General features: G+C 36.1%; 1 protein-coding gene across 22 annotated transcripts in view, besides 2 other annotated features; it reads left to right on the forward strand.

Moving 5' to 3' along the window:
* AKAP7 (A-kinase anchoring protein 7) overlaps positions 1 to 18,918 on the forward strand; it is a 157,906-nt gene that overhangs the window by 87,944 nt on the left and 51,044 nt on the right. For 17 of the 22 annotated variants that reach the window (NR_164833.1, NR_164832.1, NR_170717.1 and 14 more), the window contains one exon: positions 6,091 to 6,238. Coding sequence is in view for 15 of the 22 variants with exons in the window: in XM_017011509.2 (XP_016866998.1) it covers positions 6,091 to 6,238 (148 nt within the window). In the remaining 7 variants the exon portion in view is untranslated. The other 5 variants (XM_047419569.1, XM_047419572.1, NM_001387862.1 and 2 more) reach the window with 4 other exon arrangements.
* Positions 12,371 to 13,130: an enhancer, noted in NCBI's record as "OCT4-NANOG hESC enhancer chr6:131547081-131547840 (GRCh37/hg19 assembly coordinates)". NCBI's record gives its function as "activates a minimal SCP1, AML or CMV promoter by ChIP-STARR-seq in naive H9 embryonic stem cells {active_cell/tissue: H9 hESC(naive)}" and the evidence as "EXISTENCE:reporter gene assay evidence [ECO:0000049][PMID:30033119]".
* Positions 16,980 to 17,149: an enhancer, noted in NCBI's record as "experimental_89836 CRE fragment used in MPRA reporter constructs". NCBI's record gives its function as "activates a minimal promoter by MPRAs in K562 erythroleukemia cells, with activity observed for the non-introgressed 6:131551775 variant allele {active_cell/tissue: K562}" and the evidence as "EXISTENCE:reporter gene assay evidence [ECO:0000049][PMID:34662402]".

The raw sequence follows: 18,918 nt of genomic DNA on the forward strand, positions 1-18,918 counted from the left end.
TCCAAGCCAAGAACACAGCTGGAGTTTGATGAAAGGGAGTTGAGTGCTCAGCTGAGACTGAGCATATAGGAATCTTTCTTGGATGCCTCATTTTTTGAGCCCCTTCTTTGTTTCATTATACTGAGAAAAGCCACATGCAAGTATAACAAACAGTTATGTGGCCAAACAGCATATGGTCTCTCCTGCAGGAAATGAGAAGGAGGAGGACTTGAGAAGAAAGAATTGAGGTTGGCTAAGTAGACAAACAATGAGCTTACGTGGGAACAGACTGTGTTGTAAATAAAGGCATTGCAGTGTTCTAGCGCTGTGCTTGTTGTATTGAGCCTGCAACTTTGAGAACTTCTTGGGTGCCAGTGACCTGTTGTTCTCTCTGTGGTTAACATGGCCTTAGTCAGTATAAATGAACCAAATGTTTGTGAACCAGAGCCATGTTTCTTCCTCTGGTCTGTTTGATGCCAGCACCTCCTGGAATGACACATTAGGACCAGGAGGCAACCAGCATTTTCTCTTGGTGGCTTTTGTGACGTGACTTGTGTTATTAGGAATCGTGTTGTCTTCCCTCTGTGACTGCTTTCCTAGCTACTTGATGCCACCAAGGAGCATCCAGCACTTCTTAAAAGTTTTAGGATAGGTAAAAGGAGGTGTCAGTAGTAGATTTAAAATGTGTAGCTCTAGCAGCTCTGTTTCTACCTACTACTTGCTGAAAGGTGTAATATTGTAAATGTTAGTTAAAATACTAGGGTAGAGTTTCTGCTTTTTCTTTCTGTAAAGCCTGAACATTAAACCAGACTGGAATGCTAAAAGTAAGTTTATAAATACAGGAGTTAGGGAGATGGCGTGCCTAAAAAAATCCCATGGTGAACTGAATAGACGCTTTAGCATAAAACAAAATTAAGAATTGAGAAATATTACATATGGAAATAAATAGCTGGTCCAGAAAACATAGACCATCTGTGCCAGTATTGTACCTGATTATTTGGAATATTAACAGTATAAGAAGCATTCTTTTTGCAGGCTGGATTATTTGGATAATTTTTTCTATGTATAAGTAGCATCTATGAATTCTTTCTTATCTCCCTCTCTGAAATTAATTTACTGTGACCTGTACATATCACTTGATTTACTAATATTCATGCACTATATTAAGGGCATGTATTTTAGAATGCTAGGGATTCCCAAAGTAATTTTGACATTGGTTTTGGAAATATGATAGTATATATGATTGTATCTTAATAATGATTAATATTCTTAGAATTTTAATATTTTAAAGTAAATAATGGAGGGCTTGAAATTATTATTCTGCTCTTCTTTTCAATATATTATTTTCTCTACTTATTCTGAATCTGTATCCAAGCTCTATCTCTTACTAGCTGTGTCTTTTGGTAAGTGACCTCATTTCTCTGTGATTTAGTTTTCTTATCTGTGGATAATAGTGTTATTGTGGTTATTAAATGAGTTCAGAAAAGTTCTTAGAACAGTGCCTGTGCATAGTAAATGCTTTATATTTTCCATTACTGTAATACAGATGATAGATGGCATCATTTTTTTTTCAGATTGGGCCACAATAATTGGGCCATATAAAGTACTGTTGACTTTTCTATTTTTCATCACTCCTTATATTTCCGCTGGAAACTAACTGACAGGCAGTTGGTGGGGTGTCAGGGCCTCAGCAAGACAGCAAACAGGCACATTCGACCAGGGGACCAAAGCAGAGCCCAGCCACATAGACTGGCCCAGAGCGGCCAGAGGAGAAGATGGGAAGGCCGCAAGGCCGTTCTCACCCTGGGTGCTGGACATGATCTGAAATCACCATGCTATTCTGGAGCTCATTGGTTGGTGCAGTGAAGCTCCTCATCTCTTTCCCTCCCTGTCAAGAACAGGCTGGGGTGGAACTGAGCCTCCTCCTGACTCAGAGGAGCTGAGGGAAGGCTGCAGCTGAGGGAAGGCTGCAGCTGGCGAGGAGGTAACCAAGTGTTCTGTATCAGGAGGATGGTGAAAATGAAATAGTGCAAATAACAGCAAAAAATGGAGTTATGCAAAGAGGTGAAGGAGTCATGAAGAACTTTAAGATTTGCCAGGGATAAGCCCCATGCCAATATATAATGTTTTCATAACTTTGAATTGCCAATATGTACATTTTCATTGGGGCAGTGATCACTAAAAGTGATTTCAGTTTCTTAACCAATATAACATTAAACAAATGTAACTTTTTGCCACTTAACAAAAATAAGTGTAAGAGATTACTGTTCTTCTTTAACCAGCCTATGCCCAAAATGGAAAGCGAGTTTGGCTCTTAAATCACATTCTTAATTTTGTTGTCAAGTCATTATCACAGGAAATGTGTATTTCTTTTATAGCTACTTATATGACAGCAATAAACTATTGGAAAACATAGCAGAAATCAAATCCAGGAATGCCAAGCTTACTATCAGTAGGACAGATAATTTCTTTGTCTTATATGAAGCCTGTTTATATTTTCATCATGGACATTGTGATTGCTATAACAAGTAACAATAAGAAGTTATCTTCTATTACAAAAATGTTTCGACCTTCTTAATATTGATTTCCATTCTGACCACAAAAGGTTTGTCATAGAAATTAAAGATGAATAAGTGTATCTTATTTTTTAGAATCTTAAATGATTTTCACTTTGAGATTAGCAAATGTGAATTTCCATGTTTTGTGACCGTCTGTCTACTTCCTGTATTAAAAATAGAGTCAGAGGCATAGTAATGTAAGTCTGAGCCCTCTTTGGTACATATTAAATTATGCACATCATTTAGCTAAATGTAAATGATATGGTGAGTGCCTCCTGAGTAAATAATTTCCATTACTTATCAGATTGAGCCATCAGATGATTCTAAAAATACTCGTCATGCATTCAATGGCATTTTCTCTGGAGTGGACTGTTTGAGTGCCAAGTTACAACCAAGAATGAAATTCCTGTTTCCCGGTACATTGTATCAAAGGTTATCAAGTGTATTTGAACATCGCTGATAATTTTTCCTAAACTGTGACTGAAACTAGGCTAAAGATAAGTTAAAACTTCAGTCATTTCTAATGATTAATTAAGATAGTCTTGAAAACTTTTTTCTGTTTGACGTTTCTTACCACTATTTTATTGTTTCAAAGTCTGATATTCCATACTTAACCTCCTATTTTCTCTTCTAATGTTACGTTGCATAATTGAAATGTCACTTATACTGGATACAATTATAAATATGAAGCTCTTAAAAATATGCCTCCTCCTTGTTAGGTTTAAGGCAAAAATAACCTTCTAAGGACTAGACCATCAACAATCATATTCAAAACTCCAGGGTTGCAACACCCATAGCATGATTTGTTAAAGATACCTCACATATTTTTCTTCTACATGTGAAATAATCCTAACTCTTAGCCTTTATAGATCAAATTTAACAATTTTCATGATATCTTTTGAACTCTCCTAACATTGTATACCTCCATTGATAGTTAAGTAATAGTGCCTTGGGTCTGGCCTATGATGAAGGGTCTGGCCTATGATGAAGGGAAGCAGAGAATAATTTTGGGGGTCCACAACCTGAAAATAATGCCACCACGCAGCCTTTTTAGCTTTAAAATATAATCTGGGAGGATGATGCTTCTGAAACTATTTTGCCATCCCAGTGGATTCATTCAGAAAATAGGTCCCTTCTTAGGCTTACCCTAAATGATCCACTTTTGAGGTCCCATTTATTTCCTCAGAATCATAGTCTTCCTTTTTTTTTAGTATGAAAGAAAACGCCACCTGCTGCAGCTGGATGGTGAGATCAATTCAGATAAATTTTATCAGAAAAGAAATATATTGCCAAACAAAAAATTTCTCCAGAGAATGACGATCATGTTGAAATTGTGATATATATCAGACAATGCAGAGGCTTAGCTATTTCTAGGTTGTTTATTACTGAAGATTTTTCTGATCAGGACATATAATTTCGGTGCCTTCAAAAGGCGTCATGCCTTTTTGAACCATAGCTCTCTCTATAAATTATGAGTTAAGGAATTAATTCTGTTTCACTTGCTAGTAAAAATTAACTCCTAAAGACTCATGTTGGAAATCATCTGTGAAAAATTCTTGCAAAACAGTTAGCGTTTACCTTTTGCTGAAATTAAATTAATAAGCCTAGAAGATTAGAGTCAATCTCATGTTTTATTTCTTTAAAAAATGACATTTTACAAAACGGAAGTGAAGATTATAGCAATAGTGGCTAGTCGGTGCTGCACTGGTTTCTTGAAAATTGAAGGTTCTTATTTGTCTGCTGTGTTATTGCCAGTCTTCTCTCCAGTCTGAAGGAATGACTTTCTCCAACCTGCACACCCCTACACACACACACAAGCATTTAGAAGACAAGAATCGTTGCTCATTTTCCATTTACTTTGAATGTTTTTATTCTTGAAATGTTATCTCGAATGAAGTTATTACATAAAGTTCACTAATGATAATGACTGTGTGTATGTGTGTGTTTCTATATAATTTATTATATTTCATTGTTTTAAGCACTTTTATAAATGGACTTACTTAGTCCACAGAACCCTTTGAGGTAAGGGGGAGAGATTAGGAGTCCAGTTTTAGACATTGAACAAAAACATGCATCAATAGAAACATGTTTAATATGATATTAAAAATTAAGATCAACCTAAATGTCCAACAGTAAATAATTGGATGAATAAATTATGAGACTTTCATGCAATGAAGTACTATGGAGAAAAATATTTGGCACATCTGTATATTATTTTGGCACATCTGTATATTATTATATTATGACACAGCATATTTGCTGAAAATATAAAGCTGGTTATCAAATAGTACTCAGGGAACAACCACATTCTATAGAAGAGAAAAAATATACTTTGTGTTGGCAAGGAAAAACTAAACACATAAAATTATAGCAGTGGCAGTTTGTAGTGATTTAATATTTTTGCTTTTATAAATTTTTTCCCATTAACTAGTTTTCTAAATAAGTTTTTGTCATTGAAAAGAGAAAATATATATTCTAGTTACTTTAATCTTATGGACTGTATTTTGGGACTCTGAGGCTGAGTTGCAGGGCCATTGTATAGTATAGCAGAGGCAGATATATTCTTTCCCATGTTTTGGGGAACTACAGAGGTACCAAGGGCATCCCACTGTAATTTTTCAACAACCAGCTGTTTCTGCTAAGAAAATACACTGAAAGTAAGGAGGAGCAGATAGAGAAGAATTTGGAAGATCCACTGACTTCCCTGCTCCAATTCAAGTAATCTTGTCTTTCAGATGATTCTTACATAAGAAATTTAAAAATTACCTCCATCTTATTAGGGCATTTTTTCCACTATAAAATGTTAAGATCCAACTTACTTTTTAAAGATTTATAGTATTTTATTTTTTCTACCTTACTTTAAAAAAATGTATCTATTTCGCTGGGCGCAGTGGCCCACGTCTGTAATCCCAGCACTTTGGGAGGCCGAGGCGGGTAGATCTTGAGGTCTGGAGATCAAGACCATCCTGGCTAACACAGTGAAACCCTGTCTCTACTAAAATTACAAAAAATATTTTTTTGTGGTGACAGAAAAAATACAGGTGTGGTAACACGCGCCTGTAGTCCCAGCTACTCAGGAGCCTGAGGGAGGAGAATCACTTGAACCCTGGAGGTGGAGGTTGCAGTGAGCCGAGATCGCGCCACTGCACTCCAGCCTGGGTGACAGAGTGACACTCCATTTCAAAAAAAAAAAAAAAAAAATTATCCATTTCTCCATTTTTGTTGGAGATGATTAGTCTTTCCTTGGTATCTCAACATTTTAACTCAGTATACTTTATTATTTCTGGAGCTTAAAATGTATGAAGTTCTGAAAACTGCCAAATTTAAACCTAACACTCTTTATTGATGGTTTTTTAATACAACTCCTTCTAGGTAGGGAGACTTGAAAAACAACTTCACAACAATTTTATTGTTGTATATCCATTTCAAGTGCCAGTAGGCAGTGGTGTAACAATGTAGTAATGTAATAATCAGGTTCAAAGAAAGTGATGTAGTTATGAACTGGCTGCATGGGTGAAATGATTGATTGATTGATTTGTTTTTTCATTTCAAGGGAGTGAAAAAAATAGATCCTGATTTATATGAAAAGTTTATCAGTCACAGATTTGGAGAAGAAATATTATATCGCATAGATCTTTGCTCCATGCTGAAGAAAAAACAAAGTAATGGTTATTATCACTGTGAATCTTCCATTGTGATTGGTGAGTGTCATTTAAAAATTATTTATTATCTTTATTTTTAATTTTTTTGGCATCACTTTTATCTTGGCAAATATTTAAACTTAGTTGTATACGTTTTTCTCAATGATATACTTTCCTAAATATTATGTTTTGACAATGATACATTGAAAATTTTCTAGAGCATTTTTCATATTTATATTGATCAGTTAAGACTTTACTACCTGTAGTTTTTATACTTCTGGCTTTAAATATAATTATAATGAAGTCTGGAAATATTGATTTAGAAATCATTTCAATTTAATTTTATTTCATGAACATGAAGAAAACATTTTCTCCAGGGAAGGCCTCCATGACCTTCCACAACTGGCATTTTGTATTTGCTGCTTGTAATTACGAATAAAATGATTCCAGCCAGAAAGTTTCACCTTGAGAAGAGAAAATATAGGTGGCCTGCAAAAATTGAAAACTTCACTTTCTTCCCTAAAAAAGATGTTTTGAGGGGAGGCATAAGGTTCATACATAAATGCATCTGTCAGATGGCAGGAGATGAGACAGACTCATATAAAACTGTGTTTCCAGGTGGAAAGTGTGTACACTTAGGGAGATCTTTCATCCAGAATAGAGCTATACTCCACTTTTTGCAATGTGAACGTATTTCAAAGCAGCCAGCTCTGTTGTGATTCAGATTTATTATTTCAAACCAGACACTATTCTTTTAAAACTGTGAACTTCAAGACAACCTGATTTATATGCTTTTAAAGTAACATGAAAATACTCAAAGAAGACAAATACATGCATACCTTGTTTTATTGTGCTTTGCTTTATTGTGCTTCACAGATATTGCCTTAAAAAGACAGTTTATTTATTTATTTTTAAGAAATTGAAGGTTTGTAGCAACCCTGTATCAATTGTCTTTCTGGGCCATTTTTTCTAACAGCATGTGCTCTTTTTGTGTCAATTACATTTTGGTAATTCTCACAGTATTTTAGACTTCATTATTATTATATCTGTTATGGTGATCAGTGATCTTTGATGTTATTATCGTTATTGTTTTGGGGCACCACCATATGAATTGTATTCATATAAGATAGCAAACCAAATTGATAAATGTGTGTGTTCCGACTGCTCCACCGAACAGCCATTCATTCCCCTGTGAAGAGTCGTACATCTCTTACCTTAAATCAAAAGCTAGAAATGATACATTGGAAGGACATGCAAGAAAAAAAAAGCTAGAAATGATTAAGCTTAGTGAGGAAGGCATGTCGAAAGATGAAATAATCCGAAAGCTAGGCTTCTTGTACCAGTTAGCCAAGTTGTGAATGCCAAGGAAAAGTTCTTAAAGGAAATTAAAAGTGCTATTCCAGTGAACACACAAATCAAAAGAAAGTGAATTAGCCTTATTGCTGATATGGAAAAAGTTTTAGTGGTCTAGATAGAAGATCAAACCAACTGCAACATTCCCTTAAGCCAAAGCCTGATCCAGTGCGAGGCCCCAACTCTCTTCAGTTCTGTGAAAGGTAAGAAAGGTGAGCAAGGTGCAGAAGAAAAGTTGGAAACCAGCAGAGGCTGGTTCATGAGGTTTAAGGAGAGAAGCTGTCTCCATAACATAAAAGTGCACGGTGAAGCAGAACGTGCTGATACAGAAGCTGCAGCCAGTTATCCAGAAGATCTAGCTAAGGTCGTTGATGAAGGTGGCTGCTCAAAGCAACAGATTTTCAATGTAGACAAAACAGCCTTCTATTGGAAGAAGATGGCATCTAGGAGTTTCATAGCTACAGAAGAGAAGTCAATGTCTGACTTCACAGTTTCAAAGAACAGGCCGACTCTCTTGTGAGGGGCTAATGCAGCTGGTGACTTTTAAGTTGAAGCCAGTGCTCATTGTCCATTCCAAAAATCCTAGGGACCTTAAGAATTATTCTAAATTCAGTCTGTCTATACTTTATAAATGGAACAACGAAGCATGGATGACAGCACATCTGTTAATAGCATGGTTTACTGAGTATTTTAACTACTGCTCAGAAAAAAAAATTCTTTTCAAATGATTACTGCTCATTGACAGTGCACCTTGTCTCCCAAGAACTCTGATGGAAATGTACAAGGAGTTTAGTGTTATTTTCATGCTTGCTAACACAGTGTCCATTCTGCAGCTCATGGATCAAGGAGTAATTTAGACTTTCAAGGCTTATTATTTAAGAAATATTTTTGTAAGGCTATAGCTGCCATGAATAGTGATTATTGTGATAGATATGAGCAAAGCAAATTGAAAACCTTCTGGAAAGGATTCACCATTCTAGATGTCATTAAGAACACTTATGACTCATGGGAGGAAGTCAAAATAGCAACATTAACAGGAGTTTGGAAGAAGTTGATTCCAGCCCTCATGGATGACTTTGAGAAGAGATTCAAGACTGCATTGGAGGAAGTAACTGCAGATGTGATAGAAACAGCAAGAGAATGGCCAGGCGCGGTGGCTCACGCCTGTAATCCCAGTACTTTGGGAGGCCAAGGCGGGCGGATCATAAGGTCAGGAGATCGAGACCATCCTGGCTAACACCGTGAAACCCTGTCTCTACTAAAAATGCAAAAAATACTAGCCGGGCGTGGTGGCGGGCGCCTGTAGTCCCAGCTACTCGGGAGGCTGAGGCAGGAGAATGGTGTGAATCCAGGAGGCGGAGCTTGCAGTGAGCCGAGATCACACCACTGCACTCCAGCCTGGGTGACAAAGTGACACTCATCTCAAAAAAAAAGAAAAAAGAAAAGAAATAGCAAGAGAACTAAAATTAGGAGTGAAGCCTGAAGATGGGATTGAATTGCTGTAATCTCATGATAAAACTTTAGTGGATAATGAGTTGCTTCTTATGAATGAACAAAATAAGTGGTTTCTTGAGATGGAATCTACTCTTGGTAAAGATCCTTAAACATTGTTGAAATGACAACAAAGGATTTAGAATACTACATTAACTTAATTGATAAAACAGTGGCTTTAAAGGGTTTGAGAGAATCAGCTCCAATTTTGAAGAAGTTTTACTGTGGGTAAAATGTTATCAAACAGCATTCCATGCTACAGAGAAATCTTTCATGAAAGGAAGAGTCGATTGATGCAGCAAACTTCATTATTGTCTTATTTTAAGAAATTGCCACAACCACTCGAACCTCCAGCAAGTACTACTCTGATTAGTCAGCAACCATCAACATCAACAGACAAGACCTTCCACCAGCAAAAAGATTATGACTTGCTTAATGCTCAGATGATTGTAAGCATTTTTGGCAATAAAGTGTATTTAAAGTAAAATGTTTACATTTTTTAGATATAATATTGCACATTTAATAGACTGCATATAATGAAACATAATTTTATATGTACTAGGAAACCAAAAAATTCATGTGGCTTGCATTATTGCAATGTTTGCTTTATTGCAATAGTCTGGAACTAACCCATAATACCTCTGAGGTATGCCTGTATATGTAGCTAAATATTGCAAGGTCTTTAACCAAGGTAATTTATCTCCAAATCAGCTGGAAGAACACCTATGGATGTATACATCCTGAAAGAATCTTAATACTGACGTTTATTAAAGCATTTAAAAATGTTCAAGAGACACAATTTTACTTCCAAATTTTCATTAGACATCTTCAGAGGTCCTCATTTTACCTTTCAAAGACTTCAGCTATTTTAAACAGAAGATATTCAGTATGTCGTTTGAATTTTATATTCTGAAACATCTCAAGTCTATTTTAAGGAGAATTTTCATCTTTTCAGAATCTCTGTAAGAGAGCTGTCTTCCATCCAAGTTTTGATGAGGACCAAACATTTCTGTTTAGGTTCATTGTAAATGGAAAACTTAGATACTTCTTGTGTAGGACAGATTTTGGCCAGCTTCCCCTATCTTCTCTGCCAACCTTATAAGGTCTCTTACAAGGCCAACCTTATAAGAATTGCAGTGCCTCATTACCTTTCTCATTCCTGTTAAAAAAATTAGGAATATGTTGATATTGCTGAAAATATTACAGGACTGGCATTATGAAGCTTATATCATAGATTACCTAAATTGACACTGGACAGTTCTATTCAGCCTACCACCCCCCATCACTGTGTTCAAGCCACTGAGATTTCGCTTTCATTGCTCTTTTTCAGTTTATAGTCTTTAAATTTCCCCTTATGTGAGGTAGTTTCTCCAGATCTTTCCATCAAGCTTCTTTATTGCTGTTACACTTTCTAATTCAAAACAATTTTGCCTTTTTCAAACGCTGCCAATCTTGTATCCCCAAGCCAATCATTTCACATTGTTTTAAAAAATGATTTTTGCTTATTACAAATGCTTTCGTGGGTCACATTTGGCGATGACAATATAAACTTTAAAATCATATGTGCATCTAAAGTGATAATTTATTGTTATAATTAACCAAGTTTAATGTACACTAGAGTTCATTTGCTTATAGATATTATTGATTTTATCAATCTTACCTATATTTTATAACAATATTAGATTTGGGATACTTTGTTTTATTTCTTAATCAGATTTAATTGGCCTACCTTGGTTTGGCTTCTCTTTGATTTGATCCTAACTCAAATTTAATGTCAATTTCTTGAGGCTTGAGCCAACATTTTATGGTATACATTAATACCGTGGGACAGATTTCTGATCTTAAGATATTATTCAGAGTTCTAGGATAGAAATTGGGCCTCAGGGACACTGAGAACTTCCTGATATTGTTCATAAAACTTTGTATGTAGGTACATGTGTGAATTTTTCTGGGGAGATAATTTAGCCCTCATTAGATTTGCATATTTCCTATCTTTGTTAATGGTACATTCTTGGAGAGTGCTAGATTACAAGTCACTGATTATCTCTTCAGCCATCTCTGTTATACCATTTAAGACATCTTAAAAAAAAAATCAGTTAGTATATATGCTACGTTTGTAAAGTTTCCAGTTGATTCACTTTTTTTTTTTTTTTTTTTTTTTTTTTTTGAGACAGAGTCTTGCTCTTTCACCCAGGCTGGAATGCAATGGCTTAATTTTGGCTTACCACAACCTCTACAACCTCCACCTCCTGGGTTTAGGTGATTCTCCTGCCTCAGCCTCCCGAGTAGCTGGGACTACAAGTGTGCGCCACCATGCCCGGCTAATTTTTTTTTTAATATTTTTAGTAGAGACAGGGTTTTGCCATGTTGGCCAGGCTGGTATCGAACTCCTGACCTCAGGTGATCCACCACCTGTGCCTCCCAAAGTGCAGGGATTACAGGCGTGAATTACTGCACCTGGCCTCCAGTTGATTTACTTTCATATTTTCCTGTTCTATTCTTTGCTTCATGGATATTAATTCTTCTGTCATGTCTTTGAGGATTTCAATACAGTCATTTTTTAAAGTTCTTTTCATATTTAAAAAAATTCTGTGATTCCTTGGGAATGAATTCTTGTAGTTGGTCTTCTGTGGCCCTCAATTTCCTCTAGTGCTTTTTAAGTTTTTTTTGGAGCTCATCTTATTGTGCATGTTTTCCCCTCAGAAGCCCATGTGGGTTTTGTGGTTGTCACAGCCCTGGTCCCACAGGGTACATTGCTTTGAACTGAGTTAGGAACTGGCAACCACAAATCATCCTCATCCGTAAGGAGTTGGGATTTCTTCTTCTGGATTCTGTTACCAATTTGTGAGTTGAGAGTAAAGATATTAGCCTTTTGTTTGCCATATTGGCTTCAAATATTTTCCAGGTATTATGTTGCTTTTAATTTTGGACAAGGAACTTTATATATTAAGTGTTAAGTTTTATCAAATTATAGGTGAAAATTTCTCTTATGATTTATTTCATGACCATTATGATTAGCATTATCTTCAAACCAAAGATTTGATATATATTCGTTCATATTTTCTTCTAGTTTTTTTTGTTTTTGTTTTTCCATGTAGGCTTTTAATTTACCTGATATGATCATTAATATAGGTTCTCATACACACAGGAGAAACTCATAAATCCAGTTCTATTTTATGCATTTTAAATTTTATCCATTAATTGGTTCATTTTTAGTGCACATGAAGTAGGGATTTAGTTTTAGAAATTATTTTCTAGGATTTCTTTTACACCCCATCACATCTTTTACTGTGTGACTCAGAAATCACTGATTAGCAGCCTTACATGTACTTGATTGAACAGGGGTTTTTGTTTGTTTTTGTATAATTCAAATTACTTGCCAATACTAGTGTGATTTTATATTAAATCTGGATTTCCACCTTCTTCTGAACAATCAGATGAGGTGCCCACATTACCACATTGGTCTCACGTTCTTGCATGGCACTACAGTTTCCTGGATGGAGTAATAGGCATTGTGACCTTGAGCGTAGCTATCTTTTATCATCCCACTTACCCTGTTGTTCTTGTACAAATCTGTTTACCTTTACACTGCCTACTTGGCTCCTGAGAGCATCTGAGTTTGTACCTCCTGCCAGCTGTTGCCTGCTTTACATTTCTATGGTGAACATTTTCCTCTTAATCTTCTGCCATTGTATACCTTTATGTGGAGCATTAGGAGACTTTGGTCGGATATGGTGGCAACATTCCTATTTTCAGATATAAGAAAAGGTACATTTTGGTTGTTTCATGCTCAAAGCTTTGGGTGACATTATGCCTGCTTGTCATTGGGCTATAACTGTGCAAACCGCACTGCACTAATCAGCTAAAATTCAAATAATTAATAAAAAGGTGAAAACCCTACTTCTTTTTGGTGAAAACCAGGAATGAAATATGATTCAGATATTTTAGGATTATGAAAGCTGTTCTCTGTGAGCTACTTACTCGAGTTGGGTGAATTAATTTTTCTCAGGCAGCTGTGTTCCATTTGTATTTCCCTTGGGAATGTAAATGACTAAATGACACCTTTTGTAAGATTGATGAGCAATTTAGTGCTTGCAAAGACTAGTTTACTTTCAGCTGTCAGACATATCTTACAGGAGGCAGTGGGGAATTTGGAAAGGTCTAGACGTTTTTTGTTTGTTTGTTTGTTTGCAGTCCAGTATATTTATAACTTCTGCAAGCAGAGGTAGAAACAGAATTATTTTCTGGGAACACTTGTTTCTTTGCTTAATAATTATTATTCAACATTAATGAATGTTACTGAACATGTACGATGTGCCTACTTCTCTCTCGGGTATCATGTGATACAGAGAAGTATAAGACACAGTCCTTAAGAGTGATACAGAAGCACCGGACAGCAAAGGCTACATCTGAGAAATGGCAGAGGAATAGATGAATAGGGCTTGTCTGTAACAGTAATGGGATTTGATAGGACACAGTGGAAGCTTATAATTTTACCATTTAATAGGAGAGTAGGGGGATAGGGGAGTAAAAGAATTCAGCTGAATGGGATGAGATTGAGGAGCAGAGCGATAGTCAATAGAGAAAGGAGACTTTCTGGAGCAATTGTCTTCATTGCTTTAATGGCAAAGACCACAATTACTTTTGCACCAACCTGATACAATGAAAGAGAAGCAATGGATTGGGAAGCAGGGTGGAGGCATTAATAGTGATAGATGACACTTTGATTGAACCCACAGTGGAGTTAGCTGAGGAAGCTGCAGAGTGGGAGGTTGCTAGGTTTGCGGGTATGAGGAGTTGGTGAGGGGATGGACATAGTTACATACACTGAGGCAGTGAATGTGTAATACTGAGTAGATAAATGTGAGATAAAAAGAGAATGATGTTGTGCTTGCTTCAGCGGTACATACACTAAAACAAGGATGATGTTTAATACTCAACAACACAGGACCGAGTCCTAAAGATAAGACCGTTAATTAATTTCAGACTGTAGCATAAGAGGCCAGGAGGAGGATAGGGTTGGGCCAAGCATAAACTAAACAGAAGAAGCAAAGATCTCCATTGACATGGTGATAGACCAGGAAAGAGTTCTAGATAAGTTAGTGCCATATAGCTGTAGTTTAGTCAGAATGTGTCCAATGCTAAATAGGCCAGAACAACGGGATAGCCTGCTCAGACTTTATGGGCTGAAACACTAAGGATAATTCTGAGTGAGTAGAGTCAATGAATTATTCCATTTAGATGTCCTTGCTTTTTGAGAATCACCCTTAAGACACTCGGACAGCCTAGATCAGTCTTAAAAGGCTTGCTAGTCTTAAAAGGCTTGTTGTGGTTCACCCAGGGATTTCTAGTAGTCATATGAGGGCAGTAGTTCAGCCAAAAAGAAAAGACCTTTTGCCTTGCTTCTGAGGTTGGAGTCCCTTTTGACTGAGGAGACCCTCTTCTCTGACTCTGACGTCCTTATCTTCAGTGCTCCTTTACCCTTAGGGGCCAGGGCAGAGATGAGTTGCCCACATCTGGATGTTGCCCAGTTTTAGTATGTAGGCATGGGGATCTCCTTTATGGAAGATAGTAACCATTGTTTGATGCTGCAGGAAGGCGTAGGAGGAGAAGGAAATTAATTTTTTCATTGGGTGAAAGGCATAGCTAGGAAAAAAAGGTTTTGAGCTTTCTAGAATCCTTAAACCTGGACCTTTGATACATAATAAAATTTGAAAATGTTGAATTTGAAAATGTGTGTATTTCTTAAATCCAATATGCTCACTTAGTGGAGAGGGGCATTGGCGATAGATATGTGCATGAATGTCTTCCTTTTTTTTAGTTTGCTTTTTGCAGTAGGAATATGTGCCTCATTGTGCTTATCTTACACATGATTTAGTATTCTAATCATTTACAAGGCTATACTTTTGTTGAGTTTTTACTTTATTTTTAATTTTTATTTTTTGTAGAGACGGGGTCTCCCTATGTCCAGGCTGGTCTTAAATTCCTGGGCTCTTGCCTCAGCCTCCCAAAGTGCTGGGATTACAGGTGTGAGCCACTGTGCCCGGCCTGGGTTTTAAATTCTTTTAAAATATACTTTAGGTTCACCAGTTCTTAGAATTTGGCCCATGGATCCCTGGTGGTCCTTTAGATACTTTTAGGGGGTCAGCGAGGACAAAACTATTTTTATAAAAATAATAAGACATTATTTGTCTTTTCCATTGGGTTAACATTTACATGCAAAAGCAATGGTGAATAAAACTGTGTATGGCCAGTATGAATCTAGACAGTTGCAACTAAAAAAAAATTTTTTAAAGGCAGTTTCACGTAAGAATGTTCTTGCTGAGTAGCAAAAATTATTAATTGCGTTTAATCTCAACTTCTGAGTATATGTATTTTTAATATTCTGTGTAACAAAAATGGGAGGTATGCTTGAGGCACTTTTGCTGCATATTGAAGTAGGTCGACCCAAAGAAATGTGTTTGCATGATTATTTAAGCTGTGAGCTAAAGTAGCCCCTTTCTTCCATGGAACACCATTTTTTCTTGAAGAATGATTGAAGGACAAACTTGTTTTCATACTTGGGTGTTGACAGGCATTTTCTTGCAAATAAACAAGTAAACCTGTCACAGCAAGTACAACTGACATTATTTACTGCTAATCATAAAATTCAAGCTTTCAAGCAAAAATAGAAATTTTGGAAAACTCACATATATTATCAGGTGCTTGACAGAGCACACAGTAGGATAATGAACTTCATTTTCCCAGTTCGTTTTGTTTTGTTTTGTTTTGAGCTGGAGTCTGTCTCGTTGTGTTGCCCAGGCTGGAATGCAGTGGCGTGATCTTGGCTTACTGCAACCTCCGCCTCCTGGGTTCAAGCGATTCTCCTGCCTCAGCCTCCCAAGTAGTTGGGATTACAGGTGCCTACCACAGTACCTGGCTAATTTTGGTATTTTTAGTAGAGACAGGGTTTCACCACGTTGGCCAGGCTGTTCTTGAATTCCTGACCTCAAATTATCCACCTTGGCCTCCCAAAGTGGCCTCCCAAAGTGCTGGGATTACAGGTGTGAGCCACCATGCCTGGCCTCCCAGTTTGTTTTTATCTATCACATTCTCTGTGAGGTATAACTTATATGCAAAACCGCACATACTTAAAAGTATACAACTAGATAACTTTTTACATATATACACATGCCTGTGAAACCGCTATTGCCTTCAAGATGCTGAACTTTCCATTACTCCTCAAAGTGTCCTTATGTCCCTTGCCAAGCCATACTTAAAGACTTTTCTAGGGAGATGGGGGTGATATTAATTAATGTGTTTTTAATTGTTGCTGCAAAGGACATGGTTTTGTTCTTTTTTATGTCTGTGTAGTATTCCATGATGTATATGTATCCCATTTTCTTAATCCAGTTCACCATTGATGTGTACCTAGGTTGATTCCATGTCTTTGCTATTGTGAATAGCAAGCACAGTGATGAACATATGAGTGCATGTGTCTTTTAGGTAGAACAATTTATTTTCATCTGGGTGTATACCCAGTAATGGGATTTCTGGGTTGAATGGTAGCTCTGTTTTAAATTCTTTGAGAAATCTCCAAACTGCTTTCCACAGTGGCAAAACTAATTCACATTCTCACCAAAAGTATGTAAGTGTTCCCTTTTCTCTGCAGCCTGAGCAGCATCTGTTGTTTTTTGACTTTTTATTAATAGATATTCTGACTGGTGCGAGATGATATCTCATTGCAGTTTTGATTTGCTTTTCTCTGATGATTACTAATGTGGAGCATTTTTTCATATATTTGTTGGTCACTTGTATGTCTTCTTTTGAGAAGTATCTGTTCATGTCCTTTGCCCATTTTTTAATGAGTTTTTTTCTTTTACGTGTTGATTTAAGTTCCTTACAATTTCTGGAAATTAGACCTTTGTTGGATGCATAGTTTGCAAATATTTTCTCCTGTTCTGTAGGTTGTCTGTTTACTCTGTTGATAGTTTTTGCTGTGCAGAAGTCCTTTAATTAGGTCCCACTTGTCAATTTTTGTTTTTGTTGCAATTGCATTTGGGGACTTAGCCAAAAATTCTTTGCCAAGGCCAATGTTGAGAAGGATATTTCCTAGGTTTTCTTCTAGGATTTTTATAGTATACATGTTACTATAAAGTCATGCATGGAGAAAAGATCCATTAAAAATTCAAGATAGATCAAGAATGTAGAGTATAAAAAGTTCCTTGGTATGTTTTAAGATTCTACATTGCAACTAAACTTGAAGAAACTATAGCTTGTCATGTTTTGCTATAGTATCAAAGAATATCCACAATTATCTTAATTTAGTAAATGTTTATGAATATAACCCACATAAACTAAAGCTCTAGGTGGATGGGTAGGGGTGTTGCCAGTCATTTTGAAGAGTATAAAGGAGTCCTGAGGCCAAAAACGTTAAAAGAAACCTCTGCTTTAGTTCATGGGTCCAGGGAAACCATGAAAAAGTGTAATCTGTAGATAGTTAACTTAATTTTGATCAGTATTTTCAACACTTTCATAAATTAATTTTGATGGCTATTAAGCTATCTCCATGTTAAATATGAATTGGTTTGATAACTCTCTAATTTTTTCCCCTCCTTTAATTTCCATTTGAGCATTATGTGGTAAAAATGTAACAAGTATAAAAATGCCCCAGACAGACAGGAGCATATCTATGTGAAATGACTCATTTAAAAATCATCATTATGTGAAATAGATATTATGTAATACAGGAATGTCTCTTGTATGATAGGCAGGACCAAAACATTTGCGTTTTTTTTTCTTTCTTTGCACAGGCTCACAGAGATATGATTAAGAAAATTTCATCTCTACTTAGACCGATTAAGATGAATTTATTTCAAGCATTTTAGAAGAGGGAACAGTGAAAAAACAGTTTATTATCTGAGAGAACTGTATACTTTTTTTTCCACTTGAAAACTTAGCAGTTAGAAATTTTCTCTGTTAAAATTATGGAGTAATTTATTTAATAAGAGCTGACTACAAGGTATTTATTTATTTTATGACATACAAATTGGGTGACCATATGATTTATCATCTAAATGGTATACTTTTAAGTGTAAAAGGGGATCTATTACTTACTAGGCTGGGATAAAAGAAGAAAACCAAGACTATCCTGGCTTAACTGGGACTTAGGTCACCCTACCTAAGAAAGTATAATGTTCTTGAAAAAGTGGAACCTTTGACTTGCTAAATACTCTAATTCCAGTCTTGTTTCTTTTTGCATCCTAAGTGTGCCCTTTATATGTTTCTTTGATGAAACATGCCTTCTAAAAAGAAAATGTTTAAAATTTGTTGTTATATGCCCCTAATAAAAATGAAAAGCAACTAATAATTGGAACTCTCAGCTTACTTCTTTACATCTGCCAAAGTTAGACGAAGCTTTGGGATAATTAACTGAGAAAATTAATCTTAGTGATGGCTCACTGTATTTTAACTGGTATATCAGCTGTTAATCCGGATGCTAACACAAAGGGGCAGCTGTGGCTCAGGCTATTTTGAAAATCCAACCGTCTGTTGGTTTCAAACCTTATGATTTATATTAGACATCTTAGGAACCCTGCATATTAAAGGAGCGGTGCTAAGTTTATCTGAAAAATTAAGCATCACTACTAAAATGATGCAGTAGTAAGGTATTTCACGAGTTATTTGTGGAGCCTTCAGTTGGAAGTTTATTGTAAAAAATATGAAGGTAAATACTGAATTCCAAATAAACAGGAAAAATAAAACCATGTGAATGAAATTCTTAGTGTGCAGTCTGGTCAAACAAAGCCATTAACATAATAATGAATTAATAGTTGCCAAAAGTTATGGCTGCCTAGTCCATAACATTGCCTCATTGCCTCTGAACACATTTTTCACCACATTAATCGATGTTTATT

Source organism: Homo sapiens, chromosome 6 (assembly GCF_000001405.40).
Source record: "Homo sapiens chromosome 6, GRCh38.p14 Primary Assembly".
Taxonomy (NCBI): Eukaryota; Metazoa; Chordata; class Mammalia; order Primates; family Hominidae; genus Homo; species Homo sapiens.